Below are 19,586 nucleotides of genomic sequence, written 5' to 3' on the forward strand. Positions count from 1 at the left end.
CTGAAGGTTTCTTTGTAAGAGCTTTCATTGGATAGCTAGAAGGGCTGCAGTAAGTTTAAAAAAAAAAAAACCCAAACCACCCTGGATTCCAGGCTGCACAGCCTCTAGGAGGTGTGGGTAATCCCTTTATAAAGCTTGGCATAATTTCTGTTAAGACTTGCTTATTTTGCTCTCAGCTTGCTATCTTGATATGTTTGCCTTTGAGGAGGTTAGAGTTATTGTGATTTAATCACAGACCATGTATTTCGCAAGATTCATTTGGTATCTCCAGCTTGTTTTCTTGTTTCCTCGGCTGTCAGTCCACAGGCAGAGGTGGGAGGCGGCCGGCATGGGGGACCGAGTGTGGTAGAAAGGAGTGTTTACTTAGCGGAGGGGAGTGCTGAGGGCTGCTGTTACCTTCCCAGAATGGCTGATCCCCAGCAGTGATGAGCAGGCTGGGATCGTGGTGTTAAATTTGGTATTTTCTAGAAATATATAGCAGGCTTTCCCCTCCACCTGCCCCCCTTCAAGGTTTCGAAGCCTTGTGTTTTGCAAGAGTTGAGAGGGGAACAGTTAATAGCTTGGATTATCTTGTCTCTGGAGAGAATTTATGTATCAATTCACCGGAAGACTGCTCTGGTATTAGGGCAACAAGAATGGTTTTATTTCTCCCTTCCTTTCCTGCACTCTGTTCTTATGTAATTCTTGTATTAAAACCATTCCTGGTAAATTAGAACATGCTCTTGTATTTGGGCCCTGCTTTGAAGAAGGCTGCTGAGTCTAAAAAGTTTGGTAGCCTCTCGTTTCTCATGGTGATTTCTGAGATTTCTAGGGACTTGGTGTTTTACAGAGCTTGTTGAGTTGCACAAACCAGCCTCCTTGGCCCTTCTAGGTGATAAAAGATGCTGGGCTGGGAGGGCAGCTGTGGAAAAGGGTGTGGGCGAGGGAGACAGTGCTTCATCCTGCCTGGATGAAGCATGTTGGTTGTTGGTTTATTCATAAATTAGAAAAATATATTAAGAATTGAAGTTGTTCCTTATCTCATAAGATTTCTAGCAGGCTGCATAAAGTCTGTAGATGGTAATATCCATTTAAAAGTGGACAATGAAAAAATTACCTCTTTGGGAGTTGTGTTGCTATCTCTACCCCAATTTGGCAATCTTTAATTAACTTGGCAACCCCCGTTTTACCAACAAAGAACAACCTTTGATTAAAAAAAAATAAAATGTCAGGGAGTGAAAGATACGGAGTGTGACTCAGCAGATGGGAATTCCTTTAATAACACGCTGGGTGTTAGCGTTAGAACCGCCACTGAACAGCTCTGCAGGATGCCCTCCCAGCCCTCCCTCCACCTATTTGGATTAGACCAGGAGACTGCAGCAAACTTCTCAAGGGGAGGCGAACTTGGTGTTGGTATCTGAGCGATTGTCTGTTTCAATTGTTTCCCTCTGTCTTGGAAAACACCGGCACAAAACACAAATCCAGTCCCAGTTCCTGCAGCTGCTGGGGCGAAGCAGGCTTTTTATGAATGAGGCCCAGAAGGGGGAGGAGAGGGCTTGTGTTACAGCAGCAGTTGGGTAATACATTTCATTCACTTGCAGCCATCTAGCCCAGGCTTCATTTTAAAGGATATTGTTCATTTTTGGCAATTCAGATTAGACTTTTTTTCTTCCTTGTGCAACTGTTGGTAAGTTAGAACACGAAGCATGTGTGTGCATTCTTTTTGCTTGCTTTTTTGAGTGTTTGCTCCTTTAGTTGGGATAAATGGTAGGAGAGGTAGGAAGGCTTTGTCATCCCCGGGGACCTTGCTTACTTCTCCCTCCCAGCACCACTTAAGAGAAGAGGAGGTGGCCTCCCTCTCCCCAACCTCAGAGCCCTCAAAGCCCTTGATAGTGAGCCTGAGCACTTGTTAGGAGGTGACTTCTACCTGGGGTGTGCTGGGGTCCACATGTGCCAGTCTCTCTGCCCTGCTCCCCGTGAGCGGCTCTTTATTTGTGGCCCTTGAGGCCCCATTGTTGTGGCCACCAAAACCTGAATTGGAAGCTGTGTGACAATGCTGGTCCCCCTCCCTGCACTGCTTCCTGCTGGGGGCAGAACAAAGAGAGCGGGCATTGTCTCTGGCATAAATGAACCTCTATCAAAACAAACACCCAGAGAGAGGGGCAGCCTGGTTACAGCTGCCTGTGTGAGCCTCGACAGTGGGCCTCATTCCTCACAAAGGGAGCTTTGAGGCCCGGAAGAGGCCTTTCCTTGATGATCGAGCTGTGCACAGGGAGCAAACCCCAAGCCGACTGCTTGTCTGTGCCACCCTCAAACAATGATTTCCCCAAATTGGACAGCCTGGGTTTGTATCCTTGAGCACGGTTTTGGGAAGAGCATTCTGCATGAGGCATTGTAGCTATGTGTATGGAGTATAATTCTGTTTTCAGGTTGCTCTGCCACAGAGGTTAAGAACTCCCTCTTCCAAGGTAGACATTGAGAACAGAGACGACCACACTGGGTTTTCACTGCAGCTTTTAAACAGGATGACTCCCAGCCCCCATCCCCGTGGCTAGCAGCAAGCAGGGACTCTGAAACACTGCAAGCCAATGGACTGAGCATCTTACTTTTGCTGTCCGTGTTTTGGTGTTTTGTAAACCCATCTGGTAATGACCCTGATGCCCCATGTCCCAGCAAGGGCATAGGTACCTGCCATTGTGCACCAAAGTCCCTTTCCTCATGGCCCTGGCTGTTCTCCTGCATGGGGTCATGTGTGTCCCGTTACCAAGTTGTGGCCCCTTTTCAACCTTGAGTGCCACATCTGGGCTGTTGTAGGCATGGGTAGTACAAGCTGGGTTTGTTACTCTAAAAATGAAAGGGAGGATCAGTTGTTAATACCTTCCTGTAGGTGCGAGAGGGAATGAGTTGAGGATTCGATCACTGTTTATAGCCAGTCTCGGATCCTGATTGTGAAGTCATTCTTTCTGGATAATAACTACTATATCCAGCATCTTGAGAGTATAAAATAAAGGCACATGTTGTACGTCATCTCTGAGATGTAGCGATGGCTTGGACTTTGGAGGCTGATGAGAGAAAACTCATGGTGGTGAGCTGGAGCAGGGTGTGGCTGGCGGATTCTGAAGGTGCTAGCCCTAGTTTTACAGCTGACCAGGGAAGGTCATTGAACCCTACAGTCTTGGCCCTGAGAGAACCTTGGAGGACTTAAGGATGGAGAAAGGTGACAAAAGAGATGCAAGCCAACAGCAATTTTGTGGAACAAAGTGTGTACAGGATTTGAACTTAACTCTGCGAAAGACAGGGGTTGCTTGTATGCACGAATTCACATCTGAAGAATGCATCTGATTGTGGCTGCAATTTCTGTGGACGTGCAAACATCTACCTGTGCATTTTATTTGTCTAGCATCATTGAAAGAGTTTTTTGCTTGAGTTGATTTCCCAGGTAATTGAAGCTTACTTCTCAAAGCACAAGATATTTTTTCTCATATATTAGCGGTCTTAAGTGAGTGAGACCCCTAAGAATTCTTAATTCCTTTATCTTACTTTTCCTACAGGAAACTTATTATGTTTTCCTAGATAGGAATTGTGCTACCAAAAATGAAAAGTAAACGTAATATGTAATGTTCTACTGGTAATTGTTTCCATTTTAGGTTGACACCGAACTAATGATATTTAAATTGTAGCTGACTTGAAACACAGTGAAAAAATGGTTTCCTGCTGTTTTTTTAAAGCTGGATTCAGTAACATGAAGGTAATTAAAAATGTACAGATCTCAGTAATAGACAGTCATATGTTGCTTAATGACAGGGATATGTTCTGAGAAATGCATTGTTAGGTAATTGGATTTTATCATTATGCCAGCATCATACAGCGTACTTTCACAAACTTAGTTGATACAGCCTACTACACACCTAGGGTCCATGGTATAGCCTGTTGCTCGTAGGCTGCAAACCCGTGGAGCATGTTGCTGTTCTGAACGCTGTAGGCAATGGTAACACAGTGGTAAGTATTTCTGAATCTAAGCATAGATAAGGTGCAGTAAAAAATATAGTGTAAAAGATAAAAAAATGGTACACCTGTATAGGGCACTTACTAGGAGTCAGGCTTGCAGGACCAGAAGTTGCTCTGGGTGAGTCAGTGAGTCAGTGGTGAGTAATTGTGAAGGCCTGGATAAATACTGTACACTTAGGCTACACTTAGTGAATATTACATTTTATTTATTTATTTATTTATTTATGAGATAGGGTCTTGCTCTGTCCCCCAGGCTGGAGTGCAGTGGTGCAATCACAGCTCACTGCAGCCTCGACCGCCAAGGCTCAAGCGATCCTCTTACCTCAGCCTCCTGAGTAGCCGGGACTAGACGCACACACCACCATGGCTGACTAATTTTTGTGTTTGTAGTAGGGATGAGGTTTCACCATGTTGCCCAGGCTGATCTCAAACTCCTGACCTTAAGTGATCCACCCGCCTCGGCCTCCCAAAGCACTGGGATTACAGGCATGAGCCACGGCGCCTGGCCACAGTTAACTTTTTTAATAAGTAGAAGGTGTACACTCTTAAATAACTATAAAAAGTATAGTAAATACATAAACCAATAACATAGTCACTTATTATCATTATCACATATTATGTACTGTGCACTGTTGTACGTGCTGTACTTTTATACAGCTGGCAGCACGGGTTTGTTTGCACCAGCATCCCCACAAACATATGAGGAACATGTACATCTTACCACGGTTGCAATGTCACTAGGCAATAGGAATTTTCTAGCTATATTCTATCCTTACAGGACCACTATCGTATATGCACTTCATCTTTGAAACGCTGTTAGCTGCCTCATGACTGTATTTCTATTCCTCAGTCATGGGCTCACCATGCAGTACACATGTGTGGTCACTGGAGGGAATGGAAGAACACTGAGGAAATGCATAGCCTGTTTCATATATTTATTACACTATTATTTATTTAGAGGAATGTTAAGAAATCTTGCTTTTATGTAGTTTTAGAATGCCATGAAATATCTAGTTGGGGCATTATCTGCCATTTTGCAAGGTAATCTTCCACTTCTGAATAACGTTACAAGTAACCCGCGTTTGGAGGACTGATTTGGGACTAAGGCAAGGAATTTAGGAGGCACAAGTAGAGGGGAAGAAATAAACACATGACTTTTGTTTTTGTTTTTGTTTTTGTTTTTTGAAAGAAGGACAGTGGTTTGCTTGTTGATTCTGCTTTGAGAGGATGGGGATGCACTCCAGAGAAAGTGAAACGGGGCTATGGGAGGAAGAGAGCAGCGCACACACAGCACCTGCATTTGATTGTGAATGCGATTGTGACTCCTTAGGCAGGAAGGAGAGTGCTAAGACCGTCATCATGGACACTCAGAAAATACCTGCTAATCCGTTTACTGGAAGATACAGGGAGCTGCAGATAATTATTGTTTTTTAAGATGGAGTTTCGCTGGAGTGCAATTGTGCAATCTCGGCTCACTGCAACCTCCACATCCCCAGTTCAAGCAATTCTGCCTCAGCCTCCCGAGTAGCTGGAACTGCAGGCGTGCACCACCACGCCTGGCTAATTTTTTGAATTTTTAGTAGAGACAGGGTTTCACCATGTTGGCCAGGCTGGTCTTGAACTCCTGACCTCAGGTGATCCTCCTGCCTTGGCCTCCCAAAGTGCTGGGATTACAGGCATGAGCCGCCACTCCCGGCCGCTGCAGAGAATTTTTAAAATAAATGATAGATTCTCACAGATAAGAAGTACAGGATAATTATTTGCCAAAGTTTGAAACTGCCATTATATTCAAAGGCATTCTCTTTTGGGAGTGGTTTTATATTTAAGGTTTGAATTTAGATGACCTCAATCTTGAGGTGTTATCGGAGCATTACAGGGGAGTCTTATATACATGCAGGTGCGATTTAATTTGAAGATACTTCCATTTAAACTTTATGCTGCCAGAGTTGGCCAGCTAAGCAAAAAGAATTCTGATAGGTCTTATTCTCCTCCCCATCCCACACGCTGATTTTTTTTTTCTTTGTGTTTGGCCGAAACATTTTACATTTCTCATTTTTCACAGAGCTACTGTTTCTCTAGGATTGTTTTCCCTGAAGTGTGTACCCTGTGTTTGGGCAGAGCAGCAAGACCAGACTTCCAAATGGCATGCTGCGTTTTAATGTGCTTTCATAATTGTCTGTTCCAAAAGGGTGCCTGTGTGTGTATGGTGTGTGTGTGTGTGTGTGATTCAGAGCACCTGAGAGCACACTGCCCGTTGTCCCCTCCAGCCCTTCTGAAATGCAGGCCACCCTTTCTGTTTCAGTTGCCCCTTGGGTGGCAGTCTGTGATAACTCAAGGTCAGGAGGAAGTATTTGTTTTGGTTGTCTTGTTTAACTAATTAAATCTTTAATCTTGGTCCTTAAAAGAAACTAAAATAAAATCGTAAAGTAGTTCTGATAAGTCCTTGCCATAAATTATTGCTTTTGTAAACGCACATAAAGGACTCTGAACTGTTGCTACTCATAACATTTCTGACGCCAAATGTGTGGGGTTTTGCCATACCAACAACCAGTTGTCTAACTCTCCAGACACCAACTGGGGGCCTTACAATTCAGTGCAGTTCTGACACTCACCACCTGGAGTTAGCACAGACTCCACAGGGATGAGGGTTCAGTCCCACGAGTCTGCCCTTGCTGCAGATGCGAGTAGCAGGTATGGGGTGCCCACACTTCTGTCTGACTTGCCTGAAAGGTTGAGAGTTTGTTGCCAGGCCCCTTGCTTTCAGGTCTGATAACTTGCTAGGTTATTAAACCTGAAACTTGATAACTTCTGTAGATGTTGAAATTAGAACGGCCTCACTCACCTGGGCTCACAAAATTCCAGAAAGTAGTTGACGTCCTATTACTGGTTTACCGTGAAGGCTCTATGTCCAGAGTGGACAGGACAAGTGGAAGAGTGGCACAGGGCGAGGTGTGGGGGGTGGCGTGGAGCTCCTTTTCAGGAGTCTCTAAGAAGGTGGGACTCCAGCGGCAATGCCTTGTCCATGTGCTAAGCCAGCCGAGGGCGCACGAAGTGCTGTGTGGTGTCCAAGCTGACTTGGGAGGGACAAGTTTGGGGCCAGCCCCCCAGCCTCCCTTGTCATGTCCCACCTCTGCTGGCATCTGTGGGCTTAAAGTGCCTTCACTCCCATCCTTTTCAACTATTTCTTGATTAAAAAAAAAAAACAAAAAACTGTTGAATAGTAGGAGACTCTCTCTCTCATTGGTATTTGTGGGAATAAATATTAAATAAACACTTTCTAATAGGTGTTACCAGGACGCCTAAGGAAATTATCTCACAGAGTTTTCAACACTGTGAAAAGAGAAGCTGACTGCCAGGGAGAGATCCCTTTTTCCTAGTCCTTGTGAACATGTGCTGGACAGCCAGGAGTGGCACTGTGGCAAGAAACACCCGTTCTCTGGCATTAGTAAGAGGGATATAGCCAAGGGTATCTGTATACCAGTGTTAGGCCCATACATCCATAAAACATTGATGTGAGAGCTTTAGGGCACAGCTGACCCTAAGCCTAACGTGATCATTAATGTCATGAAAATTGGAGAATTGGTCAGGCGCGGTGGCTCACACCTGTAATCCCAGCACGTTGGGAGGCCGAGGTGGATAGATCACTTGAGGTCAGGAGTTCAAGACCAACCTGGGCAACATGGTGAAACCCCGTCTCAAAAGAAAAAAAAGAAAAGAAAATTGGAGAATTTATAACGTCTGATGTGACCTGTTCTTTAGGTGTTGAAATTAGAACGGCCTCACTCACCTGGGACATTCTTCAGCTCACGCCCTGTACCTGGCTTACAGTTGCTCAGTGAAATGCTTTCTTGATTGTAGCATGGTGGGATTTTTATAAATCCAAATGACTTAGAGGTAGGTGTCACATTTTTAGCAGCTAAAATCATACTAATCGTAAAGCTCAGATTCCTGTAAGTAGGGCGCTGAGCACAGGCTGCATCCTGGATATATGAATAGATGAACCAGATCGTGTACATGTGGGACACGTTCTTTGTCCTTTGGGACTTTCTTTTGCTTGGATGTTGGTAGTAACCATGTAAGTTCGGGCAGCTTTCTAGAAACTTTCCTTGTTGTGCAACATTATGCAATAAATGCACTGCTTTGTGATATCTGAGACGTTTTGGTTTTCTTCAGCTTGTTTGAGTTAAATTTAGACTCCTGGCATAGTTTTAGGTTTGAATGCATTCTCTGAGATAGGATAAGGACCAAAACATCCACTCAGCAGCCAGATGGGATTTTATCCTTGTGCTGCCATTTTTGAGACTCATGCCTCTGTTTCACTCTCTGTAAGATGGCATTAATAGTGAGGGATTGTTGTGCTGTGAGGTTTAAATGAGCTAATCCCTGTGAGGAGTTTACAGCAGGGCCTGGGCCATAGTGAAACACTGTGTATGTGGAAGCCACTTCACTTTTGTCATAGCTTTGTTGTCATTAGTGTATACCCTGTCTCCTTGCCGTTTATGGGTCCTTCTTTCAAGCAGTCGGATTTTCTGTCTGACATAGTATAAGTTTAGAGGAAACAATAGCAGCTGTAAGATAATAGTAATTTTCCTTCTGAAATCATTTTGGTGAATTTAGTCAGAATATCTGATCCATAAACTCTCATTATAAAACATTGCCTTATGATTGGAGTTTTTTCTGAGAACAGTTCCAATGAACATGATTTTTTGGTGGTGAGGTACTATTTCTGTGCAGTAATGAAGTTGTGAGGACACACAGATACCACATCCATGTTGTTTGGGAATTGTTTGGGAAAGGTACGTGGGATAGCCTGGCATGGGGAAGAATGATGTTAGGGTATTCTCCTTGAGGAGCTCAGAATAACCAAAGGTAAAGCATTTGGTGGTATAAGATATATTCATCTTAAAAATAAGTTGAAAATAATAAGATACTGGGAGATGTTAGCCACCGAAGTAAATAACTACAGTGAAATAGCTCTTTATTAATTTTGAAACCTAAAGTTGAAAGAGTTCCGTATTATTTGTCAGTATCTTTATCCTCTTCAAAAATGTTTCCAGCTTTGGGATAAATTGTGAATAATTGTTTCACTTTGTTTTTTAATATTGGCTATGTAGTGATTTTGCATTGAACTGTGATATAAGAATGATCATCAGCCCCTTGAGATTACTGTGTGTACCTGTGTCACCAGTGGCATATAGGGGCTTAAAAGCAAGTAAGTTTAATATATACATTCATTGAGAACACACTGTAGACTGTTAGGATTTTCGGTGCTGGAGCCATAGTGATGAATATGACAAGGCCCTCACCCTTGAGGTGCCTATAGTCGTGTGGAACCTAGGTCCTCGCAGGGACTCTAGGGCAGGTATGTTCTTGAAAGATTTTTTTTTTTTTCTTTTTGAAGAGACAGGGTCTTGCCTTATTGCCTACACTGGAGTGCAGTGGTGCGGTCATAGCCCACTGCAAGCTCAAAGTCCTGGGCTCAAGAAATCGTCCTGTCTCAGCCTCCCGAGTAGCTAGGACTACAGGTGTGCACCACCATGTCTGGCTAATTTTTATTTGTATTTTATTTTTATAGAGTCAGAGTCTTACTCTATTGCCCAGGCTGATCTTGAACTCCTATCTCAAGTGATCCTCCTGCCTCAGCCTCCCAAAGTGCTGGGATTACAGGCATGAGCCACTGTGCCCTCTGTAAAAGATTCTTATCAACAGTTAAAATAAGAAGCTGCTCAAGACATTTACCTATCCTGAATGTTTCAGGCCCTCAAGGTGCCAGGTAGCTGCAATATAGTTCTAGTGTAGAAAAGAAAACCCTGACGAGGTCTATATATTCCAGGACTCTGTCTGAGGCCCTTTGACACTCCGGGGGCACCCTGCCGTGACCCTGACTCTTTCCTGCATGTACTGAGGATGGAGGTAGCCTATGGGTGGCACAGAGATTTGCTGTCTGGCTAGCAGTACTTCAGGGTACTGGGTGGCTTGAGGACCTCCTGTTAGAAGCTTGGATTCACTTTTCCCAAGGCAACCACGATTGGATTCTATTAGTTCTGGGTCTTGAGAGCCTGCAAGGGCTTCCTTCTGCGAAGGTGAGTCTGGGAGAGACGCCATGGAGTCAGTGTGAGTTCTGCAGCCTCCCAAGTTCCGCTGGCGTGAGAGGCTTGCCTGGTGCCAGGGCTCTGGGCATTGGGAACATTGCCTGGTCTACCGGGCAAGAAACGTGAACCACCGCAGTGAACTGGCAGCGCGTTGGCATTTTTCCCTCCATGTTTTTATAAAACCGCTGAGTAGACACCAGATTATAAATCCTGTGTAAATAGTCTTGAAGAGTTTCTGGGTTCAGCCCCAGAGAAGACTGGTTTGGGTTTTGAGGAATACTTCAAGAAAATGTTTGTTGGTTCTGTTTTCCAACGTAAAGTGCTGCACAAGGACTGTGCTGTGAGATCCAGGAGTGTCTTTTCAGCCCTCAGTGAGTGCCTGCAGGGGACACAGCTGCTTTGGAGGAACGTGGTTCCGGAGGGTTTCCCACTCTCCATCCTAGTTGCTAAAGTCACGTTCCACGTATTGTGTTCTGATGATAGAATGAAAGCCCACTCCCCGCACCCTGGGGTCTAGGTGGGGAAAGGAGAGGTGTATATGGGATAGCCACGGGGTTTGGCATGAGCTCAGTAGAGACAGCAAACTGACCCAGACAGACTCCCGCTTTAGGGAAGCTGGGATGAACTAAGTGAAGGTGGGTCATGGGAGCAATGCTGAACCACTTTGGTGGTTACAGTGAAGGCTGCTACACACCCAGCTTTGGGAGGTGGGGCCCAGGGTGTCCAGCTTTGTAGAAAGGCATGGTGTGGGGGTGGCTGGCGGAGGGGGTGGTGGGTGGTTTTCCTCTTGAATCTCTGAGAAACTTGACTGGTGTACTGCTCTCTGCTTTCCTAAGGGGTCCGTAGCTGTGCTGGTGGTTTGCTTGGTATCTGTATTACATCCACTCTGTGCTTCAGCCTGTTTGTCCAGTTACTGTGTCTAGTGAAGCTAGCATTCACATATTTTAGATTAAATTCCACACTCCACCCCCAAATTAAAACCCTGCTATTTAAGGTAAAAATAATTTTAAAATGTTTTATTTTGGTCTCTTTGGATAAATTAATCTTGAGGAAAGCAATACTTACTGAATGTTGATGTGTGTATATGTCTTTCTCTTTGTACCATACTTAACAGGCAAGTAACTCTCTTGTAAAATCAGATTCTAAATGATTTTCTTTTCTTTTCTTTTTTTTTTTTTTTTGAGACGGAGTCTCTGTAGCCCAGGCTGGAGTGCGGTGGCGCGATCTCTGCTCACTGCAGGCTCCGCCTCCCGGCTTCACGCCATTCTTCTGCCTCAACCTCCCAAGTAGCTGGGACTACAGGCGCCCGCCACCACGCCCGGCTTATTTTTCGTATTTTTAGTAGAGACGGGGTTTCACCGTGTTAGCCAGGATGGTCTTGATCTCCTGACCTCGTGATCCGCCCGCCTCGGCCTCCCAAAGGGCTGGGATTACAGGCGTGAGCCACCACGCCCAGCCTCTAAATGATTTTCTTAAGTGTAATTCAGGAGTTGGCAAACTACAGCCCATGCTGCCACATCTGGCCTGCCACACCTGTTGTTGCACATAAAGTTTCATTGAGTCACAGTCATACTCATTTGCTTTCATATTGTCTGTAGACAACCTAGAATGTTAGAAAATTCTTTCTCTGGCTGGACGCGGTGGCTCACGCCTGTAATCCCAGCACTTTGAGAGGCTGAGGCGGCCGGATCACCTGAGGTCAGGAGTTCGAAACCAGCCTGACCAACATGGAGAAACCCCATCTCTACTAAAAATACAAAAATTAACCAGATGTGGTGGCACATGCCTATAATACCAGCTACTCGAGAGGCTGAGGCAGGAGAATCACTTGAACCCAGGAGTTGGAGGTTGCGGTGAGCCATGGCTCATGCATGTAATCCTTGCACTTTGGGAGGCTGAGACGGGCAGATCACAAGGTCAGGAGATCGAGACCATCCTGGCTAACACGGTGAAACCCCGTCTCCACTAAAAATACAAAAAAAAAAAAAAAATTAGCCAGGCGTGGTTGCGGGCGCCTGTAGTCCCAGCTGCTCGGGAGGCTGAGGCAGGAGAATGGCTTGAACCCAGGAGGCAGAGCTTGCAGTGAGCCGAGATCACGCCACTGCACTCCAGCCTGGGTGACAGAGCGAAACTCCATCTCAAAAAAAAAAAAAAAGTTATTTCTCTATGTAAACAAAGAAAACTCTCCTTCCTTATAACTTGTATGTGTTGGGTCTATTTGTATTCTGTGAACCATAAGAAATAAGTCAACTATCAGCTGGGCGTGGTGGCTGACGCCTGTAATCCCAGCACTTTGGGAGGCCGAGGCGGGCGGATCACGAGGTCAGGAGATCCAGACCATCCTGGCTAACACGGTGAAACCCCGTGTCCACTAAAAATACAGAAAATTCTCTGGGCGTGTTGGCGGGCGCCTGTAGTCCCAGCTACTCCGGAGGCTGAGGCAGGAGAATGGCATGAGCCCGGGAGGCGGAGCTTGCAGTGAGAGATCGCGCCACTGCAGTCCAGCCTGGGTGACAGAGCCAGACTCTGTCTCAAAAAAAATAAGTCAACTATCTCAAGGTAATTACCCTTTTGAATACTTGAGGACATCTTTTCTGTGCCCTCTGAATATTTCCTTCCCCAGATAAAATATTTCTAGTTCTTTTACTTGTTCTTTGTTTCAGAGTTTTAAGTCTCCATTTGATAAAGTATAGTTTAATAGCCTTCGAAACCACATCGTTGAGATTTAAAAAGCCCTCCTTGAGAGACATGACCAGTAGAAATCATACCAGGACCGTTTAGCACCCTAACTCTGGGAGCCATGGCTCTTGGGATGCGGCTGAAGATTGTGTTATCGTCCTGAAGCTCTCTTGGACAGCTGAGTCAATGACTGGAGGTAGGAAAGTTCCTTGAACTCTTTCTTGTGCCCTTCCAGCTGTGAGCTGTGTCACCATTGTATTATTTTTACATTGTTGTTGTTCTTGAAAAAGCTTTTTTTTTTTTTTCAAGGCAGAGTCTTACTCTGTCGCCCAGGCTAGAGTACAATGGTGCGATCTCAGTTCACTGCAATCTCCGCCTCCTGGTTTCAAGCATTTGTCCTGTCTCAGCCTCCCCAGTAGCTGGGATTACAGACGCCTGCCACCATGCCCGGCTAATTTTTTTAATTTTTAGTAGAGATGGGGTTTTGCCATATTGGCCAGGCTGGTCTCAAACTGCTGACCTCAGGTGATCCTCCCACCTCAGCCTCCCAAAGTGCTGGGATTACAGGCGTGAACCACCGTGCCCGGCCAAAAAAGCTTTTGAAAACTTCGTCGTATAATATTATGGCCATCCTTCCAAACGTGACCTTTTTATGTTGTATTTTATCTAACTAATTTGCCCTTGCCCCCAACTTTTATCTTGGAATTTCTTACGTATTAATATACTGTCAGGGTCCCTGCTTGGGGCATTGTCCTTGGGCTTGTCATTAGATAACTCCAAGTTGGCTTGACTCCAGAGGAGCTGCCTTCACACGTGCTGTGAAATGTACTGTTGTTGACCAGAGACCATCGTTATCATTAAGTCCACAAACCTGCTTCCTGTCTCTTAGGCTGTTCCAGTCTTCTATCGAAAAACAGTGGTTTAAGTGGCTTCTCCGATAGTGCTGGTGAATTGGAAGCTTCTCGTCATCCCCCTTGGCTGGGGCGAGGCTTACTTCCTGGGGCCTTGGCAGTTTTGATCTAACTGACTTATGTTACCTTTCTGTATTAATCAAGCCTTTTTATTTTCCATACTTCTGATGCTTTGACATCTTGGGGCCTTGCTGACCCTGAAGAGACCAGCCCCCCTAGGGTTAGCCAGTTCCTAGGTAGTGAATGAGTACAATGCTCATATGCAAAATAACCAATCCAAAGGCCACGCCCCTCACTCATATGCAAAATAACCAATCCAAAGGCCAGGCCCCTTACCACCTTTATTGGGATTTCATACTCCAGGCCAATATTGCCCTACCTTAATCACCCTAGGGCCAGATACCAGGCAAGAGACAGCCCCTACACCCCAGAGCCTGTCAGAATTACTCCAGCCAGCTAGTCCTAAACCTGCTTACCTTGTGTGATTTATTCCTTCCCAAGGAAACCACAATAAAGGCTCTCCTCCATGTTTTCCTACCATTCCCTCTGCCTCAGGACCAACCTTGGTTCTTCTCCGTGTGGCCCCTTGGCATGGTGCACTACCTCTTCTTGGGGACTGTGAGTAACAGACTTTTTCAGTGGCAATTGTCTTTTAACTGTTGGCCTCACCGTACCTGAATAGCAGTAAACCCTACATCTTAAAATACTTTGAGATTGTCACATACAGTACCCAGAATAGGTGAGGATGAAGGCAATTTACTGGATGCAGAGCGGCCCCAGTCCATTCCTTATGTCCGAATGCTAAGACTTGAGAAAGGTGGAGAGGAGCCTGACTATCAAGAGTTGCCTTCTTGGATGAAGTGGGCTGAAGACACACGAACCCCTTCCATTAATACATCTACATATTTTCCACCATTGTAATTGTATTAATAATTGGAGAAAATAACAATGACTGTCAACAACAATAGCTTAATCCAGTAGAGATGAGGTCCGGAATAGGTTCTGGCCTACCTCAGTTCATGTTTTTTACTTTCAATGCTGAAGCACAAGCAAATGCAAAAGCTTCTCTTGAATGTTTTGTAAATTGTGGGATAATTGAGGTATGTGACATGGTTAATAACCCAGTGTCTGCTCATTGAGCACTGGGTTATTAACCATACATAGCAAATGGAGCACATCATCGTGGGTTGCTTGCGTCACTAGATCCTGTTGCAAAACCAAGATTCAACTTTAAAATACATTTTAATTTAAGTTACTCTTTCTGGCATGAATGATACATCACTTTGGAGCAACACTTACCAGGCAGTGAAAGCTTTTTTTAATGCCCTGTGTAGCACTGCTTTCGGTGCCCTTATATGATTTGGATGGATGGATGGATGGATGGATATAGCCACAGGGTCTTGCTCTGTTGCCCAGGCTGGAGTGCAGTGGCACCATCATAGCTCACTGCAACCTCAAACTCCTGGGCTTAAGCGATCCTCAACCTCCTGAGTAGCTGGGACTACTACAGGTATGTGCCACTATGCCCAGCTAATTTTTAAATTTTTTGTAGAGATGGGGGTCTCACCGTGTTGCCGGGGTTAGTCTCAGACTTCTGGCCTCAAGTGATCCTCCCACCTTGGCCTTCCAAAGTGCTGGGATTACACGTGTGAGCCACTGTGCCCAGCCTGTTTATATGGTTTTAAAAACAAAAATGTATATGCTCTCAAGATGGCTTTCAGAGAGCTTATTAGTGTCTTGGCCATTTGGAATTCCATTTCACTTAAATTAGAAGAGTGAAAGAGAAATGAATGGAAGACCAAAAATGGGGAGAAGAAATTGTATCTGATATAAGCGTGGCTCTACCTGGGAGAATGGCCATTCCGAATTACTGGAAACAGGAAGAAGACTTGCTATGATGCTTCCTTATATCTGTGGGGGAAAATCAAACTTACATTCTGAAAGGAAACTTAATACTTCATGTTTTTAAACACAAAAGGATATTTTTTCAGAGTAGCAGTTATAAAGTTGTTAGTTTAATCTTTTAGTTCAGCTTTTTTTCTTACCAGAAAAATAATTAGTAGTACAAAAATTTATGCGTTTGTTTTAGCTCTATTCTGATACTGTTAAGAAGATACATGACATAAAAACAGGAATATTTTCAGTCAGTGATTACAATTTAAAATCATATTCGAAATTTAATAAAAAGTTTAAAAGAAATCACCAGCATAAGATGTTGTCATTTGGCTCTTGGGGCAAACCAGCTCTCTTCTGGTGAAAGAACTTTCTGGATGAGGTCGAAAGGCAACAGAAAACCTGGGGAACAATGGCTGTCTTTTTAATGGGAGTTGCTCCTATTCCTGGTGGTAACAACCTCTTCCTGTTGCTCCTTTCCGAATGGAATTGCCTCAGTGAAGTTGTTGAAGAAGTGAGGAGGGCGAAATATGCCCATCCTTCTACAGTGGGGAGAGGCCTGGCGCATGAAAGCAGGCCTTTGTGTATGCCGGGCTGGGCCCATGCAAACAGGGCACAATCAGGCTATTGTTTGTTTGGGAAAAGCTATGGCATCCTATTGCAATTATTTATGGAAGAAAATATTTGATGTTTTTGGAAGAGGTTAGGTGTGGGGGGTGATGAGGGAGGGAGGAAAGAGACTGGGCTTACCTCTTGTCCCATTCACTCCAAATCTCTCAGTGCGTAGGATAGGGTCCATCTGGTCCAAAGGAGAGTTTTGTGTGACTCTGTGTGTTGGAGTGTTTTCGAAATGCAGAGAAATTCAGAGCTTCTCTAGCTTTGGCTAGAGAAGGAACAATGGAAGTGAGTCTTATTCTACCTAAGTTTGATGTGGGGCAGCCTGTTCTGTAGTTGCCTTCCAAGCCCTTCTTCTTTCTGATGCTTTCTTGGTACCATTGCCCACATGCTGCCTCCACCCTGGATGAGGTCTAGACCTGTTACATTGATTCTCAACTAATTAAAAGTCAATATGGTAAAATATTTGCAGCATTCCTTCTCCTTCCCTGTGTTCATTTCTGAAGCTCAACAGTCTTCCATACTCAAGCTGTGGGGAGGTCCCTTTCTCCTTTGACACCAGCCATTTTGTGATCTGCCCTTTCAGGCCACCCCAGCCACCCTACTTTCCCAGTCTTGCCTCTGCCTACTTCACCTCTTCTCTCGAACCTCAGAAGCTTCTGGAGTCTTCACAGTGGCCCTAATCATGGGTCTCATCCTTGTTTTCCTGTCTCTTTGAGGTTCCAGCAGCCAGCTTTGCCTCATCAGGCCTTTCTCTGAAATTCCCATCAATAACTACAAGATCTGCCCAGTACCTTGTGCATATCAGGTCTCAGGAAATTGTGAGTTTCTTGTTTCATTAAACATTTTTCTTTCCAGGAATCATCATTCATCGCATTGCCATATGTGTCCAGATCCCCCTTTTCAGGGAGCCAGTAATTCGAAAGCACTTGCCTGTGTTGAATATGGTGGAAAAAACAAATGTCAACCCTAGCCGGCCATCACTCCCCATCGGCCCACCCCATTCTCTTGTGCCAGTAGGACTTGCCTGTGTTTTCTTTGGGCAGTTCAAAGTTGGGCTCTTGAGAAGTTGCCTGTAAATTCAATTGAAGTGACCAGATCTCATCCTTACCCACTCTGTAGCTGCAGATAATAAACACTGGGGACTTCCCTTGTGCCTGTGTTTTAATGTAACCTTAAGACTTGATGCTCCCTGGAGTGTAAGAATATGAATAGCTACTCGCTGTGGATATTGCAGTTAATTACTCCTTCCTGTCCCATGTGGTCCCCAGAGGAATATGAGATTGCCACAAACATGGCAGCTTTCTTTGGGGAGGTGGGAGAGGGAGATGAATCTTGGGGCAAGGCACATTCTCATAACCATGTGGCTCCAGAAAGCTGCCTGACTCAGAGAATGGCTATAAATGCCCGGTTGTATGGATCTGAGATCCTCAAAGCCAGGTTCATTCACTTATTTATTAATTTAACAAACATTAGGCAGCTGTGGTGCTCTGTCTGCTCCAGCAGTGATCAAGACAGAAAAGATTTCTTCAATGCTGCGTGTGGTGGCTCACACCTGTAATCCCAGCACTTTGGGAGGCCAAGACAGGCGGATCACCTGAGGTCAGGAGTTCAAGAACAGCCTGGCCAACATGGTGAAACCCCGTCTCTACTAAAAATACAAAATTAGCTGGGTGTGGTGGCCCATGCTTGTAATCCCAGCTACTCGGGAGTCTGAAGCAGGAGAATGGCTTGAACCCGGGAGGCAGAGGTTGCAGTGAGTGGAGATCATGCCACTGCACTCCAGACTGGGCAGCAGAGCGAGAATCTGTCTCAAAAATAATAATAATAATAATAATAATAATAATAATAATAGTAAGAATACTGGGGTGGGGATGGTAGGATGCACAGTAAAGAGAATAATAAGCTAGTGATGAGCATCTAAGAAGAAAACACAAAACAGTACTGTCATCACAATGCAGGAGTGCTGGGTTGGGGGCCAGGTGTGGTTGAGGGGTGCTGTATTACGCTGGGTAGTCATTGAGGCCTCTGTGAAAAGGTGGCATTTAGACTAAGGGAGATTGGAAGGTCCAGCCATGGGAAGTTCAGGAGAAAGGATAAGAAGAAAAAGCTGTCACATGGGCACAGACTGATGACCAGCAAGGCTGGAACTTGGAAGATGAGGGAAACTGAGAGTGATTGTCAGCTCAGGCTGCTTTGACAAATTACTGTAGCCTGGGTGGCTTAAACAATAGACATTGCAGCATTCCCTCTCCCTCTCTGTGTTCATTTCTGAAGTTGAATAGTCTTCCATACTCAAGCTCTGGGGAGATCCCTTTCTCCTTTCACACCAGACATTTCGTGATTTGCCCTTTCTGACCACCCCAGCCCTACTTTCCCAGTCTTGCCTCTGCCTACTTCACCTCTTCTCTCCAGCGTCATGGTTGGAGAAGCATATTCTCATGGTTCTGGATGCTGAAAGTCCAAGGTCAGGTGTCAACAAGGTCTGGTTCTAGTGAGGGCTCTCTTCCTGGTTTGCAAACAGCTACCTTCTCACTGTATCCTCATATAGTGGTGGGAGAGAGCAAGCTGTGGTGTCTCTTCACTGATTAAGGACATTAATCCAATTGTATCAGGGTCTCACCCTTATGACCTCATTTGATCTTAATTGTCTCCTTAACAGCCCTACCTTCAACAGAGTCACATGAGGGGTTAGGGTTCCTACATATGAATTGGCAGGGTGGAGGTGGGAGGTGGCCGGGGATGAGACACAATTGATTTCATAGCGTCGAGTTATAAGATGGGTCACAGTATTAGATGGGACCAGAGCAGAGAGGGTCTGTAGGCCATGGCAAGAGTGAGAATTTACTCAATACACAGTGGAAGTTGGGGATGAGTGAGAAGCACAAGAGTGGCACACTGATTTCTACAACAGTCAGTCTAGCTGCTGGGTGGAGAAGGGGAGAAGGAGGAATAGTGGAAAAAGCAGGGAGACCGCTTAGGAAGCTGCTGGGACCGTGCATATGAGAGATGTTGGTGGCTTGAACCAGTGCTGGGTTTCTCAGCATTGGCAGTATTGACATTTTGGGTGAAATAATTAGTTGGGGAGTGGCAGGGCGGGGGGTAGGGGTGCAGTCCTGAACCAGTGCCAGGTTTCTCAGCATTGGCACTGTTGGCATTTTGGGTGAGATAATTAGTTGTGGGGGGCTGTCCTGTGTATTGCAAAATGTTCAGCAGCTTCACTAGTCTCTACCTGCTAGATGCCAGAAGCCCACCCACCCCGCCCCCTAGTCATGACAATCAAAAATGTATCTAGACATTGACAGATGTTAACCTGGGATTAGGGGGTGGGGAGACCAAAATTGTACCCTGTTGAGAACCACTGGACCAGAGTCATAGCAATTTGTAGTGGATAGATTTAGGAATATTT

At 45.1% G+C, this 19,586-nt stretch overlaps 1 protein-coding gene across 7 annotated transcripts in view, besides 1 other annotated feature; it reads left to right on the plus strand.

The window, feature by feature from the left end:
- Positions 1-19,586, plus strand: part of IGF1R (insulin like growth factor 1 receptor) — a 315,992-nt gene that overhangs the window by 150,772 nt on the left and 145,634 nt on the right. The gene's annotated exons all lie outside the window — the stretch shown is intronic.
- Positions 135-830: an enhancer, noted in NCBI's record as "H3K27ac hESC enhancer chr15:99342674-99343369 (GRCh37/hg19 assembly coordinates)". NCBI's record gives its function as "activates a minimal SCP1, AML or CMV promoter by ChIP-STARR-seq in primed H9 embryonic stem cells {active_cell/tissue: H9 hESC(primed)}" and the evidence as "EXISTENCE:reporter gene assay evidence [ECO:0000049][PMID:30033119]".

Source organism: Homo sapiens, chromosome 15, assembly GCF_000001405.40.
Source record: "Homo sapiens chromosome 15, GRCh38.p14 Primary Assembly".
Taxonomy (NCBI): Eukaryota; Metazoa; Chordata; class Mammalia; order Primates; family Hominidae; genus Homo; species Homo sapiens.